Source organism: Homo sapiens, chromosome 15, assembly GCF_000001405.40.
Source record: "Homo sapiens chromosome 15, GRCh38.p14 Primary Assembly".
Classification (NCBI taxonomy): domain Eukaryota; kingdom Metazoa; phylum Chordata; class Mammalia; order Primates; family Hominidae; genus Homo; species Homo sapiens.
In genome coordinates, this window is record NC_000015.10 from 100261396 (window position 1) to 100282840 (window position 21445).

At 45.2% G+C, this 21445-nt stretch overlaps 1 protein-coding gene across 13 annotated transcripts in view, besides 2 other annotated features; it reads right to left on the reverse strand.

Moving 5' to 3' along the window:
• The window catches only part of ADAMTS17 (ADAM metallopeptidase with thrombospondin type 1 motif 17), a 370539-nt gene that overhangs the window by 289959 nt on the left and 59135 nt on the right, over positions 1-21445 (reverse strand). For all 13 annotated transcript variants that reach the window (XR_001751118.2, XR_001751120.2, XR_001751119.2 and 10 more), the window contains 3 exons: positions 19834-20006; positions 957-1040; positions 84-241 (listed from right to left, as the gene is read on the reverse strand). Coding sequence is in view for 10 of the 13 variants with exons in the window: in NM_139057.4 (NP_620688.2) it covers positions 84-241; positions 957-1040; positions 19834-20006 (415 nt within the window). In the remaining 3 variants the exon portion in view is untranslated. The remainder of the gene's footprint in view (positions 1-83; positions 242-956; positions 1041-19833; positions 20007-21445) is intronic.
• Positions 3703-4204: an enhancer, noted in NCBI's record as "H3K4me1 hESC enhancer chr15:100805303-100805804 (GRCh37/hg19 assembly coordinates)". NCBI's record gives its function as "activates a minimal SCP1, AML or CMV promoter by ChIP-STARR-seq in naive H9 embryonic stem cells {active_cell/tissue: H9 hESC(naive)}" and the evidence as "EXISTENCE:reporter gene assay evidence [ECO:0000049][PMID:30033119]".
• Positions 17545-18235: an enhancer, noted in NCBI's record as "H3K27ac-H3K4me1 hESC enhancer chr15:100819145-100819835 (GRCh37/hg19 assembly coordinates)". NCBI's record gives its function as "activates a minimal SCP1, AML or CMV promoter by ChIP-STARR-seq in naive H9 embryonic stem cells {active_cell/tissue: H9 hESC(naive)}" and the evidence as "EXISTENCE:reporter gene assay evidence [ECO:0000049][PMID:30033119]".

Here is a 21445-nt window from a genome sequence, read left to right on the forward strand (position 1 = left end):
TCTTAACAACATGCCTATTTCCTCTCTGAAGGGAAACATCTTTTCCCTCTCACATGTCAGCTACAGGCCAAATCCCATCTTACCTGGTCACAAACACGGCAGCATCCACCAGGGGCGGGTCGTCCTTCCCGCCGGGAACCTGGTTATTGCCGAGGTATCGCGCTCCTCCATACTCCTCGTTCTGCCAGTGACAGAAGCTCTCCAGGGACCGCTCACCATGGTGCCCAATGGACAACTTAGCCTAAAAAAAGTCAGAGGACAGTTAGAGAAACAAACGCCTGGGAGGCCAGAGTTTATTTCCAGACTATGACAAGGACGTTAAGGTGGAGGCAGTCACTCACTGAGACATCATTTGATGACTCACGGCCCTCGAAGAAAAGCCTGATGCTAGTGGGTACGTGGCATAGATCCAGAGAGACCATCAGGGGCCTTACATATAGGTGCAAGTGAAGACTATGCTGTTTTTAAAAAAGCATCTTCTTTTCTGCAAACAGAACAGTATCCCAAACCAAGCGATGCTCCCTCAGTCTCATGGTGGTGGCTTGACCCGGCAGGTAACATCAGCATGTGGGAAGGCGCTCCATTGAAAGACCAGAAAATGATGCTGCCATGAACCCAAACTGGGGTCGAAGCTCTAATGTAGTTTCAGAAGGGGAGCCACAATGCCAGAGACCTTGCCATCAAGCTTTGCACTATCCTAGAGACTCCATCCGAGACCCTCCGGGAGAGGTGGATGTGTGTGGGCTCACTGCTTAGGGTTCCCTGAGATTCTCAACAGCCCCCCCTCACACCATGCTTCCGGTACTGATGCCGGCTTTCCTCTCACGCTGGCAAAGCCACAGAGAGTGACGGAGACTGGCAACTCCCTGGAGCCCCGCTTAGCATTCAACAGCAGTTGAGAAGCTCCAGCCCAGCCACATTTTCTGCTTGCTTGAAAGGTGCCTGTGGGGACTTACGGGACGTTGTCGTAGCAGGACAAGCTTGGTCACTTGAATGTTAATTTTAATCCCCAGGCTCTGGTGCTGAAACATATTGTATACCTATCAAGACAGAAAAAAGAAATAAAGATATAAAGATAAAAAATTTTAAAAATACAGTAGTATCCTAGATGGGAACTTGGGACACAGAAAAGAGATTATGTAAAAATAAGGAAATAGAAATAAAGCGTAGACTTTAGTTTATAACACTGTATCAGTATTGGTGCATTAATTACAAGAAACATGCCATTCTAATATGAGAGGCTCATGATGGGGAAACTATGTATGGCAGCTCTCTGTACTAACTGATCAACTTTTCTGTACATCTAAAATTGTTCTAAAATACAAATTCCATTCATAACAAATTTAAAAATCAATATTAAAAATATAGGTTGTACTCTTCCAGTACTAAAAAAAAAAAAAAACAAAAAACCTAAAGAATAATTATGTGAAATTCAAATGTCAGTGTCCATACATCAAGTCTTATTGGAACAAAAAATACATACGTGAGAAACATAACCCAGATTTTATTTAAAAGGTTGTCCAGGAAAGACAAAAATGTCCTTAAAAATGGATTTGCCAAAAGAAAAATGTATATAAGAGAAACCTCTAGAATCATACACACGTGTGCAAACATACATATACAGTATGCTTATGTATATAGATAAAGCTAAGCTGGAAATAGTTGGTTAAAAAAAACCACGCATACGAAAGGTGGTTTTGAAAAAAAGAAGGGGCAGAAGGTTGAAAACTTCCATTCTGGGCTTTCATGCTTGGGGTTTAAGGCGACCTTCATGAAGGGGCTGGGGGAGACAGATGCCTGCTGCTGAACGCCAGCCTGTGTCATTGCTAACCCTTGCCACACCCCACCAAGGCTGGCATCTCCACTACTCTCAGCTGGGAAACACAGAAACCAGTTCATCGAGGTAAAGCCACCTGCATGAGACCCACAGCCAGTCACAATGGCTTGATTCAAACTCAGCCCTGTCCAGCCAAAAGGTCCACATTCCTTCTTTATTCCCTCAAGTCCCATTGTAACCAAAGTTTGTCACTGAAATAAATTGCAATAACAGAAAAGGACCTATCTTTCTCAATTTTGCATGTCTTGTTGCAGAACTTAATTGTAAGGACCTCAACATCAAGCAGTCACAGCAAAGTGATTCAAGAGGAAGAGAAGGAAAACCTGGAATAAGGCGAAGGAGTCAAAGTTGACATGGATGGAAAAAGCCCACTGCAGCTGACGAGCCCCAGGTCATTATGACTCTGCCGAGTTCCTTTGCCATAACGCAGAGAAAACAGGATTGCGAGAGGTACGCGGAGAGCATAGTAAAGGTAGTGGCAGATGGAAGGTTGGAGGGAACAAGAATGAGAATCTTTTAAATATTCTACTTGGTTTTTACCTATAGACATAACCCAGGAGGGAGAATTTTCCAGCAGGAACATTAAAACTTTCTCCAGCAGGTGCTGTGTTCACGCTATCAATACATCAGCATCAGCAGCAAGCGTTAAGCACGGTAGACAGCATCACCAGGGTCAACTCAGGCCGAGTGGAGCCGCTCAACACGGCTGCACCCAGCCCACAAGCGCTAGAAGCCAGGCACGCAGTGTTTGAGCATCTCCGTGACAAAGGAATCAGCCGTGTCACTGCTCGAATTTTACTCTTTGAAAACCATTATTACAGTTAAAAAAAACCTATCTTTGTGTGACGTAATATTCTTTCACACAAGGAAAAATAGAACACATTCAGTTGTTCTGTTCTCACTTCTGCGATTTCCAAAATCTCCTTTCCTCAGGAACAACTAGCTGTTGTTTTCTTAATACTGGACCATCCACAAGCCAGTTCTGAAGTCACATATTCATGTCCTATCCCCAAGCCTGGGGGAGGAGGGGGGAGGCACCCAACTTGTTCCTGTTTTGATAGTTCGAGAACCATCCAATGGCTGTAATTCAAATTTTCCTTAAAATATTCAGCATCAGAATTGGATCTAAACTGGTAAATTTCAGTTCAAAACATGAAAATTAGGAAGAATGAAAACTTGAAGTTATGAGGGAGAAAATTCAAGTTGCACAGTGTTCACTGAGATTGCACAGCACAATCTAAACACTGCCTGTCACGCCAAGCCCAGTCAAAACCAGAAACATTAAGGAATACTACAGATTTAAAGAAGTAACACGAGAAAGCAATCCTCAGTCATATTCTGATATGCCACAAAAGGAAAGACTGCAAGGAACAGTGCAAGTTTCAGGAAGAACAAAACTGTAGGAACAAGCTCCCTTGTCAAAATCACCCATTTTCTCCTTGGCTGGCTGATGACAGTTCAGAGCCACATGCACCCCATACACCATTAGCCCAAAGCTCAGTCGCCTCCCTTGGAACAAATGCCACTAAAAAGGTGAGAGATGGAAGGGGGATGGGAAAGTTTCGTGTTCCAGGGGCTGGGGGGAGGCAAAAATGGGAAGGTGTTTAATGGGTACAGAGTTTCCGTTTTGCAAGATAAAAAAGCTGTAGAGATTGATTGCACAGCAATGCGAACCTAAGAATACCGAACCACACAGTTAAAAATGGCTAAGGTGGTAAATTTCATGTTAAGTGTATTTTACTACAATTAAAAGTACAAAGTTAACGAATTAAAAAAATAAAGCTTCATGCTCTAAATAATGTTCTCTAGCAAGCCTTGTAAGAAGAAATTTCCCCTTGACATGTAACTAGGGCACTGACGTCCAAGAGAGCAGGTACCAAGGCCTGAACACAGCTCAAGCACTTTGTCACCTGCCAGGTGCCGACCACAGGCTCTGACAAGGCTCAGAGCACAGGGCAAGGCGCACGTTCAGAATCAACTGAGGTCCCGTGCCAAGCCAGGCGAGCCAGGTGACAATCCGACGACAGCCACAAAACACAAGGCACAAGCCTCAAAGACATGTAACAAAGTCTCGTCTTCTTTTTTTTCCCATGGAAACTCATGCTCAGGAGAAGTCTTGGAGGCAACGGCTATATGTTTAGGGAGACACCTGGTTGGGGAGGGAACAGCGCAGCCAAGCGTCTGGAAATTCCGTCTCCGGCGTCCAGCTCTGGCGGCATCCCAGCAAGTGTTCAGTCCTGGCTGCGTTTGTCACATTTCCTTGGCAGCCTAGGGGCCTAGCAGGGTGGACCTGCCGCCTGCAGCACACTACGGCTTCTCTGGCTAGGCAATGTAGGGACACAGCAAGGGAGGGGCAGACAGGTACCAGAGAAGGAGCCGTGGTTGGAGGCACAAGGAGTGGAGCTGCTCACCACGCCAGGCTGGGCTTCACAAGGGCACCACCTACCTGTGTGACCCAAGGCCTCCCCCCAGAGCCACACAGGGACCTGTGGGTGACACTCTCAGGTTGCATACACTGCTATTAAGACCCCCAAACAGGAGAAAGCTATGCTCTGTAGCACAGTGTCTGAGTGGGGTCCCCAAAGCAGCAGCACCAACATGACCTGGGCACTTGTTGGAAATGCACATTCTGGAGTCCACCCCAGCCCCCACTGAATCAGAGACCCTGGGTGTGGGCAGGTCATCTGTGTTGAACAGTGCTCCTTCCCCACCCTGCTCCACACCCACCGGAGTGTGGGAACCAGCCAGTGCTCTAGCACTATGCTAGTCTTGCTGGTCACCAGAGAGAGGCTTGTCTCTTCCACATGGTAACTGAGTAAAATTCATGTCATTTTCCCTCCAAACAGAACTTGCCTGGAACAGCTCAGGTTTTTCATTCCACTCCACGGTCGTTAAGGAAGCTAAGAACAACCAAAGCTCTGTTAAACTGCCCCATTTTCCAATTTGGCTGCCCACACCCACGGTTTCTGGTATCAGCACCACCTGCTTCCGTCTGCAATTTGTTCTTTAAAATATTCCTGCTCCCGTGTCACCGCCACCCCAACCAAAGGAGAATCACATGATGTACACACAAAACCAGCACAGCACATCTGGAAAACCCACAACTGCAGGGCCAGAGTGCTGCTGGGCGCCTGGCCCGATGGAGCCTTCGCCCTCTACATGTACCTGCACAGGTGAGCGGTTTGCCAGGGACACAGAGCCAGGAGCCGAACTCCATTCCCCCAGGTAAGGGCAGGCAGAAGCATATTTTAAAACACTAACTGGAGCCCATCCCTCTTCTGCTTAAGCCCGTGCAGCAGCTTCCCACTGCCTGGAATGAGGCTGCTCTCCACACCCTGGCCTCCCCGCCTGCAAGGTCGGCCTGCCCGCTTCTCACTGTGCCCCCATCACCCTCCCCATCACCCACAAGCAACCAGCTATTTCTGTGCTTCTCCAATGCCAGCCTGACCACCACTGGCTGGTTGCTTATGTTGGCTTAACACCTTCCCCTCTAAGGCCACCTCACTCCTCTCAGAGAGGTGGCCCTGATACCTGTCACTGCTGTCCCCTGGTTCTCTGCAGGGCACTTACCACGCTCTGGTTTTCCTTCTCACTGATTTGCATGTTGAATGCTGTCTGTCGTTCCTACTGCATGAGCTCCGGAGGATGAGACCTCCGGTGGTCCCTACTCTATCCCAGCAGAGGATGCAAGGGTCCCTAGCACACACTAAGTACCCAGTAAATCAATCTGAGTAGAATCAGTCAATTGTTTTTGTATTTCTGGTGAAACAAACAGAACATAAAATTTACCATCTCACCCACTAGTGCACAACCGTGTACTTACCTGTAGTGTTAATTACGTTCACGTTATTGTACAATTAACCTCCAGGACTCTTTTCATCCTCCAATACCGAAGCTCTATACTCATGAAACACTAACTCCCACTGCCCCCCACCCAACCCCCATTCTACTTTGTTTCTATGACTTGGACACTGCAGTTACCTCATGTAAGCAGAGTCATTTAGCACTTGTGTTTTTGTGTCACTTGGCATACTGTCCTCAAAGTTCATCCATGCTGTGGCGTGTGTGGGAATTTCCTTCCTTTTTAAGGCTGGATAATATTCCATTGTATGGACACCCCACGTTTTGTTTATCTGCCCATCTGCCAATGGACACCTTGGCTGTTTTTGCCATCGTTCGGCCATTGTGAGTAATGCTGCTGTGAACACGGGTGTACAGATACCTCTTCCAGGCTCTGCTTTTAATTCATTTCTTTTTTTATTTTCGTGGTAAGTCTAAATGAATATATATTTATAATGTCAACATTTACTTTAGATTCAGGGGTATGTGTGCAGGTTGGTTACGTGAGTATATTGCGTGATGCTGAAGTTTGGGATACGAATCACCCCATCACCCAGGTACTGAGCATAGTACCCAGAGGTAGTTCCTCAGCCCTTGCCCCCCTCCCTGTCTCCCTTCTCTAGTAGTCCGCAGTGTCTGCTGCCACCTTTTAAAAAATTTTATTTCTAATCTTTGTGGGTTCATAGTAGGTGTATACATTTATGGGGTACATGAAATATTTTGATACAGGCATACAATGCATAATTATCACATCAGGGTAAACAGAGTACCTATCACCTTAAGCATTTATCCTTTGTCTTACAGACAATACATTTACACTTTTAGTTATTTTAAAATATACAATTACTGACTATAGTCACCCTGTTGTGCTATCAAATACTGTAACTTATCCATTTTTGTAACTATTTTATTGTTGCCATCTTTATATCCACATGTACCCAGTGTTTAGCTCCCACTTATGAGTGAGAATATGCAGCATTTGGTTTTCTGATCCCGCATTAATTCACTTAGGATAATGGCCTTTAGCTGTATCCATGTTGCTGCAAAGGACGTGAGTTGTTCTTTTTTACAGCTGTGTAGTATTCTATGGTGTATATGTACCACATTTTCTTTTATCTAGTTTACCACTGATGGGCATCTAGGTTGATTCCATGTCTTTGCTATTGTGAACGGTGCTGTAATGAACATATGCATGCATGTGTTTTTATGGCAGAATGATCTATACGCCTTTGGGTGTATACTCAGTAATGGGATTGCTGGGTCAAAGGGTAGTTCTGTCTTGAGTTCTCTGAGAAATCTCCAAACTGCCCTGCACAGTGACTGAACTAATTTACCTTCCCACCAACAGCGTATGAGCATTTTTCTCTGCACCTTGCCAGCATCTGTTATTTTTCTGACTTTTTAATAATGACCATTCTCACTGGTGTGAGATGGTATCTTGTGGTATTGATTTGCGTTGCTCTGATGATTGCTGATGTGGAGCATCTTTTCACATGTTTGTTGGCCGTGTGTATGTCTTCTTTTGAGAAGTGTCAGTTCATGTTTTTTGCACACTTTTTAATGGGGTTGCTTTTGCACTGTTTAAATTCCTTATAGATTCTGGATGTTAGACCTTTGTCAGATAGTTTGCAAATATTTTCTCCCATCCTGTAGCTTGTATTCTTATTAAACTACCAACATCATTTTCACAGAATTAGAAAAAACTATTCTAAACTTCATATAGAACCAAAAAAGGGGCAGAACAGCCAAAGCAATCCTAAGCAAAAATAATAAAGCCAGAAGTATCACATTACCTGACTTCAAACTATACTAGAAGGTTACAGTAACCAAAAAACATAGCACTTATACAAAAACAAGACACACAGACCAATGGAACAGAAACAGGAACCCAGAAATAATGCCACATCATACCTACAACCATCTAATCTTTGACAAAGTTAACAAAAATAAGCAATAGGGAAAAGACTCCCCACTCAATAAATGGTGCTGGGATAGCTAGCTATATGCAGAAGAATGAAACTGGACCCCTATTTTTCACCATATACAAAAATGAACTCAAGATGGATTAAAGATTAAATGCGAGTCCTCAAACTATAAAAACCTTAAAAGAAAACATCGGAAATACCTTTCTGGACAGCAGCCTTGGTAAAGGATTCATGACTAAGTCCTAAAAGCAATTGTAACAAAAACAAAAATTGACAAGTGAGATCTATTAAACTAAAGAGCTTCTGTACAGCAAAAGAAACTATCAGTTCATTTCTTTATGTACCCAGGAGTAGAGGTGTTGGGTCATATGTCATATGAATAAGCTTCTTTTATACTCTAGCCTCTGTGGTAACTAGACACATTGCTGGGATTTTGATTGATTGACTGATCTTTAATTTTTACTTTTTTAGGGGCCAAACAGCATCTATTGCTGTATTCATTGAGGAAAACTGCTCCCAGGAGGTGAGCTCTAGAGAATGGCAAGGACCTTCTTCCCACCATTGAAACCTCAGTGGATAGAGACTCACTCTGCCCGCCCTCGCAGCCCCAGAGCAGTCCTGTTCCCTGGATTCCCTTCGGGGCTCTGATTCCTGGAGGAGGGACAGTAGACAGTCAGGAGATGTTCTTGGGACAGAGAAGCGGCAGCAGGAATCCAGCCTGAGAGGTCAAGCCTGCATGACCAGCCCTCACTCCTCACCTGACCTTAGCCTTCATCTCTCCTGCTTCCTGGCCTCCCAAGTTCCCTCCAAACTTTCCCCAAACTCTGAGCTTGGAGACTCGGTCTTCATTTTGATTCTGGATGCCTCCCTCTATACCTCCAAAACTGGGATTCCTTTTCTACTTCAGCCAGCCCAGATCCAGCCCCTGTTGCTTGTAATCAAAATCCCCAACCAATACAAGAAGGGCCAAATGCATTGCTCTAGGGTTTACAAGACTCCTTTCTTCCTTGTTCAAAAATGAGACCACTTTGCATGACGCCAGTTTTCTCTGGGACCTCTTCCAGGCTTCATAAGCTCTTAAAAACGGCCAAGGTGGATCTGCTCTGACTGCAGCCATTTCTTCTGTGACTCTGGAGCCATTTCTTCTGTGACTCTGGAGCCATTTCTTCTGTGGCTCTGGAGCCATTTCTTCTGTGACTCTGGAGCCATTTCTTCAATAGGGTGTGGATGAGAAGCCATTTGTAGCCGCCAGGCATTCTTTCTTGGTGCAGTTTTTCTTTTTAACCATGCTTGTTTTATCTTCTCCATCTTGTACCACCCTCGGTAAAAGACAAGACCTAGAGGAGATGGCCCATAGTTCAGCAGCCTACCTCAGGGGCTGTGTAGGAAGTATAAGTGTATTATTATATTTATGCATAAACACTTTCAAACAGAGTTTAATACACCATATCCGTGGGATGTGCTTAGAATACAAAAGGCTCTCCAGAAGCAAATTTGCCTAGGAATTAAAAAAGTAAAGCCAGTGTTTGTTTCTGTGACTTCAGCACTGAATCCTTCGCAAAGGATGCTGGTATATGGCATCAGTCATTCATTTATGCATTCACTGACTACACAAATATTTCTGGATCATCTCCTGCATGCGTACCAGGCACTGACAAAATGTTGATGGTGTAGACATAGGCCTACCTTGATGAGCTTATGGATACTGCAAAGGCAGGTGATATGTAGGATGTTTTTAAAAATTGTGGTAAAATATGCATAACATAAAATTTTACCATTTTAAACATTTTTAAGCTTACAATTAAGTGACATTAAATATATTCACACTGTTATACACTAACACTACTACCTATCCCCAAAACTTTCTTCATCTTGTAAAGCTGAAACTCTGTACCCATTAGACAACTCTTCATTCCCTCCTCCCTCTCAGCCATCTGGCCAGCGCTATTCGACTTTCCGTCTCTGTGAATTCACTACCCTACGTAAGTGGAATCACAGTATTTGTTCTTTGGTGACTGGCTCATTTCACGTAGCATAATGTCTTCACAGCTCATCTATGTTACAGCATGTGTCAGAATTGTTTTCCTTTTTAAGGCTGAATAATATTCCATTATACCTATACGCTATATTTATTTACCTACGCATCCATCTGTGGACACTTTGGGTTGCTTCCACCATTTAGTTATGGTGAATAATCCTGCTATGAACATTGGTGTATAAATATCTGTTCTTGTCCCTGCTTTGGGATAAACATTTTTGGGTGTTTACTCAAAAGTGAAATTGCTAGATCATATGGTAATTCTGTTTCATTGAGGAATCATACCATTTTCTATATATTCCCACTAATAATGTACAAAATTTCCCATTTTTCCGCATCACTGTCAACACTTCTGTTTTGTTTTGGTGTTTTATTTTTTTGTTTTATAATAGCCATGGGAATGGATGTGAAGTGGTACTTTATTATAGTTTTAATTTCCATTTCCCTGATGATTGATGCCAAGTATCTTTCCATGTACTTATTGGCTATTTGTACATCTTCTTCGTAAAAATGTCTACCTAAGTCCTTTCCCATTTTTTAAATTGAATTGTTTTTTTTTTTCCTTCCTGGGTTTTAGAAGCTTTCTATATATTCTGGATATTATAAAATATTTGATTTGCAAGTATTTCCTCCTATTCCGTGGGTTGCCATTTTACTTTGTTGATAGTATCCTTTGAGGCACAAGAGTTTTTAATTTTGATGAATTCCAATTTGTCTATTTTTCCTTTTGCTGCCTGTGCTTTTGGTGTTGTATCCAAGAAATCACTGCCAAATCAAATCTCACAAAACTTTTCCGTTTTTTCTTCTAAGAGTTTTACCTCTTCTGTTTAGGACTTTGATCCATTTTGAGTTAATTTTTGTATGTTAGGTAAGGATCCAACTTTGTTCTTTTGCATACAGATACCCAGCTTTCCCAGCACCAGTTCTTGAAAAGACTGTCACTTCTCTATTGAAGGTCTCGGCATCCTTACCAAAAATTATTTGACCATATATATGTGTTAATTGCTGAGCTCTACTTCATTTTACTGATCTTTGGGTTTGTCTTTATGTCAGTAAAGTGTTTTGATTATTACAGCTTTTGAGTAAATTTTGAAATGAGGAAGTGTGAGTCTTACTGTGTTCTTTTGTTCAAGATGGTTTTGGTTATTCAATGTCCTTTGAGATTTCATATTAATTTTAGAATGGATTTCTCTATCTCTGCAAAAAAGTCATTGGGATTTTGATAGAAATTGCATTGAATCTGTAAACTGCTTTGGATAACATTGATATCTTAACAATAAGTCTTCCACTCCATGAACATGATGGCTTTCCATTTATGTCTTCTTTAATTTCCTTCATTGATGTTTTACAGCTTTCCATGTAAAACTCTATCCCTTATTTGGTTAATTCCTAAGTATTTTATTCTTTTTGATGCTGCTGAAGACAGAACTGTTTTCTTAATTTTCTTTTCAGATTATTGTTAGCATATAGAAATGCAACTGATTTTTGTGGTTGGTTTAGTACGTGGCTACTTTGCAAAGAATTTATTAGCATTCTCTCTGTCTCTCTCTCTGTGTGTGTAAGATTTAGGGTTTTCTACATGTAATAAATATGTCATCTGTGAACAGAGATCATTTTACTACTTCTTTTCTTATTTGGAGGCCTTCAATTTCTTTTTCTTGCCTAACTGCTCTAGCTAGAACTTCCAGTGTTATGTTGAACAGAAGTAGCAAAAGCAGGCACTCTTGCCTTGTTCCAGATTTTAAAGAAAAAGCTTTCAGTCTTTCACCACGGAGTGTATTATTAGCTGTGAGTTTTTCATATATGACCTTTATAATGTTGAGGTAGTTTCCTTCTATTCCTAGTCTATTGAGTGCTTTTATCATGAAAGGCTGCTCAATTTTATCAAATTCTTTTCCTGTATAAATTGGGATGATCATTTTCTCTTTTCATTTTGTTAATCAAGTATATCACTTTTTTTATTGATTTGCCTATGTTGAGCCATCCTTGCATTCCAGGAATAAAGCCCACTTGATCATGATGTATAATCATTTTAATATGCTATTGAATTTGGTTTCCTAGTATTTTATTGAGGACTTTTACGTCAATGAATATTTGAACTATTGTTTTCTTATTTATAAGGGACTGTAGTTTTGTTTCTTTTCTTTGGCTTTGTTATCAGGGAATGCCAGTCTCACAGAATGAGTTAGGAAGTGTTCTCTCCTCTTCAGCTTTTTTGGAAGAATTTGAGGAGGACTAGTGTTAGCTCTCCTTTAAATGTTTGGTATAGTTTACCAATGAAGTCATAATGTCCAGGGCTATTCTTTATTAGGAGGTTTTTGATTACTGATTCAGTTACCTTACTAATTATGACTCTTCAAATTTTCTATTTCTTTGTGATTAAGTGTTGGTAGATTTTGTGTGTCTAGGAATTTGTCCACTTCATCTAGGTTATCCATTTGTTAACATGCAATGGTCCATAGTACTCTCTTATAATCCTTTTTATTTCTGTAGAATGGGTCGTAATGTCCCTGTTTTCATTTGTGTTATTAGTAATTTGAGGCTTTTTTATCAGTCGATCTAGCTAAGGTTTGTCAATTTTCTTAATCTTTCCAAAGAACTAACTCTTGGTTTCATTGGCTCTATTGTTTTTCTGTCCTTTTCTCTCTGCTTTAATCCATAGCAATCCAAAGCTAAATTCAAAGCTAGCAGAAGGAATAAAATAGCTTGTTCTTCTTCTAGTTCCTTAAGTTGTAAAGTCAGATTGTTTGAGATTTTTCTTTTTAAGTGTTTACCGCTATACATGCTATACATTTCCCCCTAAGCAGTGCTTTGTCCTTGTCCCATAAGTTTTGACATGTGTTTTTGTTTTCATTTATCTCTAAGTATTTTCCAATGTCACTTGTGATTTCTTCTTTGACTCTTTGGTTATTTAATAGTATGTGGTTTAATTTCTACAAATTTGTGAATTTTCCAGTTTTCCTTCTGTTACTGATTTCTAACTTCACCCCATTGTTGTCAGTGATGGTACTTTGTATAATATCAACCTTTTCAATCTGTTGAGACTTAATTTGTGACCTAACACATGGTCTATCCTGCAGAATGTCCCATGTTCCCTTGAGGAAAAAAAAGTCTTCCATTGTTGTTGGGTAGAGTGTTCTGTGTATGTCTGCTAGATCCAGTTGACTTATTGTGTTAAGTCTTCTATTTCCTTTTCTTCTGTCTGGTTGTTCTATCTACTAATGAGAGTGGGGATTGAAATCTCCAACTATTATTGTACAACTGTGTATTTCTCTCAGTTCTATCAATTTTATTTCATATATTTTGATGATCTGTTATCAGATGTGTAAATATTTATAACTGTTATATCTTCTTATATATTGGAACTTTTATTAATATATAACATCCCCTTTGCCTCTTGGAAGCTTTTTGATTTAAAGTGTCTGTTGTGTGATGTTAGTATAGCTACTCCTGCTCTCTTTTGGTTACAATTAGCATGGAATTTCTTTTTCTATCCTTTCACTTTCAACCTCTGTGTCTGATCTACAGTAAGTCTCTTATAGACCGCATATAGTTGGATCTATGATTTAAAAAACAAATTCATTCTGCCATCAATTTCTGTCTTTGATTGAAGTTTAATTAATTTACACTTCAAGTAATTACTGATAAGGAGGGACTTACTTTTCCATTTTGTTATTTGTTTCCTATATGGCTTGTAATAGCTTTGGTTCCTCATTTCCTGCATTACTGACTTCTTTTGTGTTTAGCTGATTTGATTTTCTTTTATATGTATACATATATTTTTTTTTGGTAGTGAAACTTTTAATTCCCTTTTCATTTGCTTTTGTATGTATTCTCTAGTTATTTTCTTTGGGGTTACTGTGGGGATTATATTTAATTAGGATTAAAGTTATAACACTCTAATCTGACTTTACACCAGCTTAACTTCAGTGGCATTAAAAACCTCAGCAGAATGGTTTTTTGAAAGCAAATAAATATGGAATTGTAAATTCAGATGAGGACTACCCAGGAAAGAGCAGGCTTTTATGTTGAGGAAAACAGGGTGGGCCTCATCAGAGGGATCAGCAAAGAGGGACCCTCTGAGGGGACATTTGCACAGAGTCCTAAAAGGCAGAGGAACTCGTTCCACAAGGCACGTAAGCAGAGCATTCCTGACAAAGACAGTAAGTCAAGTTCGGGCTGCCTAGTGAAAGTCAGTGTTGATGGCAAAAAGAATGGAAAAGCAGATGGGTCCTGGCCACACAGGCTGGAGGGCCACATGAAAGGCAGGGGGTGGGGGGCCTTCCCCATCCAATGCAAGGGGAAGCCACAGAGGAGCCCAATGCTGCCTAGTGACAAAGTTCCAATTCTGCAGGAAGAGGATCTTGCTGGTTATTCTGTAGCAAGGATTCAAGGGGGAAGAAAATGGAAGTGAGAAGCCTGGCAAAGAAGCTCCAGCAGCTGTCAAGGCCAGAAATAATGGCAGTCAGTCCAGGGTGGAGACAGAAAGAAAGGATGGGTTCCAGACATGCCTGTCACCTTCAACAAGGTGACATGGGGTCCCTCAGTCCCGGACTGGAGTCCTTGCCCTACTGTGTACTCACAGGCTCTGCACCCTGGCTGTGTCACGTCCCCAAGCCTCCATTTCCTTCTCTGTAAAATGGGAATGACGAAATCCACCAGGTATGAGAAGGCAGTAAGGTGGAAGCACTTTGCCATCTGGGACAGCTGGTGCATCATAAGCAGTCACATCTTCCCTTGGGGCCAGTGGCTGACGCTAATCTAATACATCAAAACCATGAGATGCTATGAAACCCGGAGCAAACGCTTGATGCCAAATTCTCCCAGCTTTGGCCATGCTATCAGCTCTCTGAGGCACTGTTAGGCCCCAGTCTGCCCTGGGGACAGGGTACTGTCTGGGTTATGCCTTGGCAGGCAGGTCAGCACACATGGGCGGGCCAGGCCTCTGACCACAGAGACCTAAGTGGGAGGGTGGGAGGGAGTAGGTGCCTGGTGGGAGGGAGTGGGTGCCTGGTGGGAGGGTGGGAGGGAGGGAGTGGGTGCCTGGTGGGAGGGTAGGAGGGAGGGAGTGGGTGCCTGGTGGGAGGGTAGGAGGGAGGGAGTGGGTGCCTGGTGGGAGGGTAGGAGGGAGGGAGTGGGTGCCTGGTGGGAGGGTGGGAGGGAGTGGGTGCCTGGTGGGAGGGTGGGAGGGAGTGGGTGCCTGGTGGGAAGGTGGGAGGGTGTGGGTACCTGGTGGGAGGGTGGGAGGGAGTGGGTGCCTGGTGGGAGGGTGGAAGGGAGTGGGTGCCTGGTGGGAGGGTGGGAGGGTGTGGGTGCCTGGTGGGAGGGAGTGGGTGCCTGGTGGGAGAGTGGGAGGGAGTGGGTGCCTGGTGGGAGGGTGGGAGGGTGTGGGTGCCTGGTGGGAGGGTGGGAGGGGGTGGGTGCCTGGTGGGAGGGAGTGGGTGCCTGGTGGGAGGGTGGGAGGGAGTGGGTGCCTGGTGGGAGGGTGGGAGGGAGTGGGTGCCTGGCCATCAGCACGAATCATGCTATTTCCCACAACTCGGAGAGAAATGTGTTGGAATGAAGGTGGCAACCAACTCTAGCAGATTTCCTTCCAAATCTGGAGGGCTTAAGGAGACAGAGCCACTCCCATCCCACAGCCCCACAGAAAACATGCTCTGGAGGGAAACAGATGGGCTCGCTGGCATCACGTTCTGCTCTATGTTCCAGGGGGCTTGTCTAATGACAGCCCAGCCACAATCCTTTCCCGTCCTCCCGGCTTAAAGGTTATCTCACTTGCTAACGGAAAGCCCTTTTCTAAAACAGCCGCAGGCAGGAAAGAACTCTTTGGATTTCCTAAACTAGGATTTGAGGGATTGAGAAAGGGGGGTGCTGGTGGAGGTGGTCTTGTTTAAACAAGGTGTCATCTCTGAACGGAACTTGTTTTTCAATTTACTTAATGGTGGTCCAGGGCTAGAGCGGCAAGAAAGGGCTGCTGCGGTGTGAGCCCCCCTGTGCAAGGGGGCTGACGACTCTGCTTCCATTCGCCTTCTGGCTTGGATCAAAAGGCCCCGGAAACCCCAAGTATAGACGACAGAAGGGCTCAGAGTCATCGCACCCAGCCCTTCTCACAGTGGGATCACCCTTATTAGGCAGGCCTCCTCAGGAAACATCTCAATCCAAACTTCACGTGTTAGCCCCGGGTCTGCCCTCAGCCCCGGGCTCTTGAGCCACCAGTGTCTTAGTACAAGCAGCTGAAGAGGGGTGCAGGGTGTTTAATCAAAGGCAAAAAACAGAGCCCTTCAGTCTTTACGGCCCATGAGGGGTGCAGGGTGGGAGTGTCTGTCTCCATGTACCAACCCCATTCCCTTCCCACTCCCTGCCTGGGATCAAACAGCCACCCCTGCCTGGATGATAAATTATGAAAGCAAATATCAAAGTCGAAGCTCTGCCTTATTACTACCTTAGCTGTTGTAATGAATGTTTATTCCTTGCACTTGTGCCCTGGATAATTAAAAAAAGAGAGAGAGATAAAATAATCTGCAGATGAAAACATCTGGTGCAGAGCCAAGCCCCTCCAGCCCTCCTCTCAGGCGTGCTCCGGGCAGACTGCAGCAATGCAGCCCGTCATTAACCGGCCACCGGGGAGACGTGGGTTTGTGCACACGAGGAACACGGAACTATTTCTCAGAAATGAGCATCATCAAAAGTTAACACTGAACTATTTCTGAGAGCTGAGCACCATCAAAAGTTAAGCAATTCCATTTCCAGGTGTATGCCCAAAAGAATTGAAAGCAGGGACTTGAACAGAGATTTGCACACCCACGTTCATAGCAACATTATTCACAGTAGCAAAAGGTAGAAACAACCCAGGCATATGCTGACAGACGAATGGAAAAGAAAAAGGTGATGCACGTACGTGCAATGGGATACTACTCATCCTTAAAAAGGAAAGCCATCCTGACACATGTCACAACATGAATGAACTCTGTGGACATTATGGTGACTGAAATAAGCCATTTGTCCACAAAAGGATAAATACTGCATGATTCCACTTATATGAGGTATCTAGAGTCATCAGATTCACACAGATAGAAAGTAGAATGGAGGTTGGCAGGGGCTGGGGGAGAGGGAAAGGGGGAAGATAGTGTTTAATGGGCAGGAAGTTTCCATTTTGTGGACAGTGAAAAAGTTCTGGAGGTGGATGGTGGTGGTGGTTGCATTAACAAGGTGAATGTGCTTTAGGCCACTGAGCTGGTCCACATAAAAATGGTTCAGACGGTGAATTTCGTATTACATATGCATTCTACCACAAAAAAAAAAAAAAAACCCAGAAAAAGAAACTTGCAAAAAAATAATGTTTAAGTTAACGGAACTTCCAGAGTTGATGACTTTGAAGGAGGGGTGGGAGCAGCATGGCACCCTCACATGCCCACTGAGGCCACGTCGGAAAGCAGATCCCTGGCCCAGGTCCCAGGGGCCTCCTTGGCAAGTGTACCTTGCAGAAGAGCCTGGCATATGAGGAAACATGTGGGTCCAGCGGCTCGACATGAGGCCTCTACTCTGAGTGCTGCCGAAGCAGCCTCCCTTCAGAGCACAATAGGGGTGAGGGGCATGGCGGAGATAGAGGGAGTTTCCTGCAGAGAGAGGCATGTCCCGAAAGCCAGTCCTGGAAAGTCTTCAACGAAATGGAAGACAAAGTACCAGAGATTTGTCCTCCTAACAAGCAGGATTGCCGTGGGGTTCCCCACACCCAGTGGGCCCAGGATTGGGGTCCTCAACATTGATTTCCCTGTGGCTGGTTAGGGGAAAGAAAGGCTTGACATGGTGGTCATAGCTCTGCCAGTGACTTCCTGTGTGACCCTGGCAATGTCCCTGAGCCTCCCTGCTCTCGGGCCTCCTTCAGCCTCTGGGAAACAAGCTGTGGGATCCCATCCCCACAAGGGGAGAATCAGTCCTGGTCTCCTTTGTCCAGGCCACCACATGCCACCAGGCCTCCCAGCCACCACAGCCCCAGCTACACAACTACCAGAGCCGAGATCCCAGTGGGAACGGTGCATTGGGGGTTCATCCAGCTTTGTGTCCTTGCCCAGCCACAGCCCCGCCCAATCCGCCTCTAAAACACCGGAGGTCCCAGCAACATAACATCCACACATGGGCAAAGAGTCACCTGCAGACCCTGTCCAGCCATGAGGACCACCACCCTCTGCTATCCTACCCGCACTCTGAGCCCCTCCCTTGGGCTTCATGTCAGAGCCAACTTCCTCCCCAGCACTTACCCCTGAGCTCCAGCGCTCATCACACCAAGCAAACAAAGGCGCCTGTGGCCTGGGCCAGCCCAGGCTCTGCACCTTCGCTAGACCTCAAGACCTTGGCTGCAGCTGGCCCAAAGGCCCTGCAGATTCCGGGAATAGGCATGTCATCTCCCTACCCCACAACCCACGGCTGCTGTGTCCCCACTGAAAACTCAGGCCCTGGGTCATTCCCCACTGCACCCATTTCGTTTAACCTTGCCCTGTCCTCTCGCGTCACTCCCTTCCATAAGCGGCCTGACCATTTGTGGCCAGGCACTGTGCACTCACTGTGGCCAGAGCTAAATTCCTGACCTGCTGATAAGCAGCAGACTGAAAGAGGTTCTTCTGTTATGGCTGGGCAGGAGTCTGGCCCAGGCCTGAGGCTAAACCTCACACTCGGAACCTTCGCACCCCTTTCCCTCTACAAAGTTCCCCTTGACCCAGATTCCACCTGACTAGGCTTCTCTCTCCTCTCCTTTAGCCAAGATCAGCAACTTGGCTGTTTCTACAGCTGAGTTGTAGCTGTTTCTGCTTCTCATTTCCCATTCACTTTTCAGTTTGTCCTCATCAAGCATCTACAGACAACACTCCCTAATGCCATTCCATCTGGCATTGTTAACCAGGCTCCTCCTGCACCTGTCACCCCTTCTTCAGGACAACCTCCTCCCAGGTCGTTGCCCCATCCCCCCCAGGGCTGGTGCTCCATGGGCTGTCTTTGGACAGCTTCTCTACTCACTGACACATTTCAGCCAGGCAGTGCTACTCACTCCGCTACTTCAGCTGCTGCTGTAGGCTGAAAAGCCCAGGTCCCTCTTTCCCACCAAGACATCTGTCCTGATTTCCCACCTTGAATTCAGCTTGTCCAGAATGGAAACTCTTTGCTGTGGCCCCATATTCATTGCTCCTCCTTTTCTCAGACAATGGCTCCACCACCCACCCAGAGGCCCAGCTTGAAGCCTGGGTGTAGTAGCCTGGATTTCTCTTGCCTCCTCTTCCTGACTCTCCAACCCCCACATCCTGCCAGTCACCAATTCCTGCAGCTCCTTCCTTTTACCCCAGGCCCTCCTCCATTCCCACTCCAACCTCTCCCACACTCACGCCAGCCCCAATGCTCCACAACACTGCTTCCCATTCCAATCCATCCTGCATGCAGCTGCTGGGCTGTTCTTCCTAACATCAACCTCGGCACACTGCTCCCCTCCCCTTCAGTGGTCCCACTTCTCAGGGTGGAGCCCCTGCTCCTCAAGATGCCTGGCCCGCCCTCCCTCACCAGGCCCTGTCCACAACTTCCACACCCTTATGGCTCCCCGTTCCCGCCATGTCAAATGACTTGGTCCTTAAAAACACCTGGGAAAATGAATGGGTGGGTAAAGCTAGGATGCCCTTGAAGGTCCTTCAGTGTCTAACATTTGAGGAGTCAGCCTCACCACCCATCCATCCCCATTTGACAAATCGGACATAGACAGACGTGGGCATCCTGACTCCTTCCTTGGTTCTCTCAACTAGGCAGCCTCTCTAAGTCAACACAGTAAGCTCTTTTTCCCATAGAGGTTGGAATTTGTTCCCCCCGCTAGACTATGGACTCCTTGGAGCAGGGTCTGGGATTCACAGGACTTTGCCGCTTGGAGTGGGTCTTATACTTTTGGGAAGGAAGCCTTCTGGTAACAAGTGGCCCCATCACTGAGCAGATCTGGGCACTTCAACACTACGCCAGTGTGGAGCCGAGGGCAGGTGCTCTTCCATCGGGATGTCCCCCAGTTACTTGCCCTCCTCAATGCCCAGAATTACCAGGCTATGTTCCCGTATCCCCAACCCAGCGTCTTCCTCACTTGAGGAGATGAGGACACAGCACCTGCTTCCAGATCTCTCATCAAGGAGAAAACAGAGCCCCCCACATCAGGACCCCGGCTCCGGACTCACCATGTTCATGACGGTCAGGATGAACCTCTGGGCGGCCTCGGCCCCGTGGTACTGCACCATGTCGGCGTCGGCCACCACCAGGGTCTCCACCGTGTGCTCGCTGGTGAGCCGGATAGCGTTCCTCCGCTCCCGCCAGTCCCGCGAAGGCCTGCCCCACGTCGGCTTCTTCTTTTCTAGAAAATGATGGAAACATTTGTGCGGTCCTTGGCTTACTGACTTCCAAAACCATGCAGTGAACAGGCCTTCTGTCAAGCCTGCCCGAGAGAGTGGTCAGTCTCGACAGGCCTAGAGGGGCCCAGCACCCAGCAATCTCCACCGTCATGTGGGTGCCCCGAGTTCACTCACGTAGGGGGGTGCTGGCCCAAAAGAAGGGTAACAGCTATGAGGCCAGATGAGGGGCCCACACCCAACTCCCACCACAGCTGGGGAGGCCAATGGGGCTGAGGGGAACAGAGGAGAAAACCCACCCCTTTAGAGAAGCACGGAGAGCTGCCAAGTACGCACAGAAAAGGAGGCCTGGACCCAGCGGGCAGGGGTCTGAAAGGCCACACCCAAGGTGGATAACTGGACCAAGGAAGCTGGGCAGAGGGGACAGGACACTCCCCTGGGGGCTGGCATCCCAGTAACTCTTCTTGGACTCAGGAATCAGGAGCCATAAATGTTGGTAGACATAAAAACACTATGTTTTTTAAAAAAATACATAATCAGAAGGAAAATCATACGACCCACATCCAGGCTAAAATGAAAATCTTCCCTTTCCTCACAATAGGGAAGGATTAGTAGTAGATGTGTGAGTAATTCTCCATTGATTCTCTAGATAACCTATATCCCTGTAAAATCTTACTTTGATAAACAGCTACTGTTATCAAAGAGCCCACACCTACAGGTCCAAATCTGCCATAGTCTTTGTACATGGAAACATCTCTGACCAACACAACAGGTTGATATGAACAGCATGCATTTTCAGAATCCGAATATAAACAGGAAGTCTCTCTCATTTGATAGTTATTTCCATGTTAGCACTAGCCTATATGGACACATCTCTGCTACACACAGTCTACATATGCACCAACCGGCTTCATAAAGTGACCCAATCATTCCAGGACCAAAACTGGATACAGCAGGCCCTCTTTATCTGCAGGGGCTATGTTCCAAGACTCCCAGTGGATCCCTGAAACCACAGACAGTACCGAGCCCTACATCTACTAGACTATGTTACGTCCTATGCATACATACCTACGATGACGTGTCATTTATAAATTAGGCATAGTAAGAGATTTACATTAACGAATGGAATCATAACAATATACTGTACTAAAAGTTATGTGAATGAGGTCTCTCTCTCAAAATCGCTCATTGTACTGTACTCACCTATTTTTGATGCCTGGTTGACCGTGAATAAATGAAACTACGGAAAGTGAAACCACAGATAAGAGGTAACCACTGTATTATGAAATAATCTGAGATATGGGTCGTAATTTACAAACAAAAATGGCTATACAACACAATTACAATCACAAAAAAGTGGCAAAAAAATGGAAATATACAACTATAGATAAAGCCAACAACAGTAAAAAGGTATACAGCCATTAAAATCATACCACGAAGATGA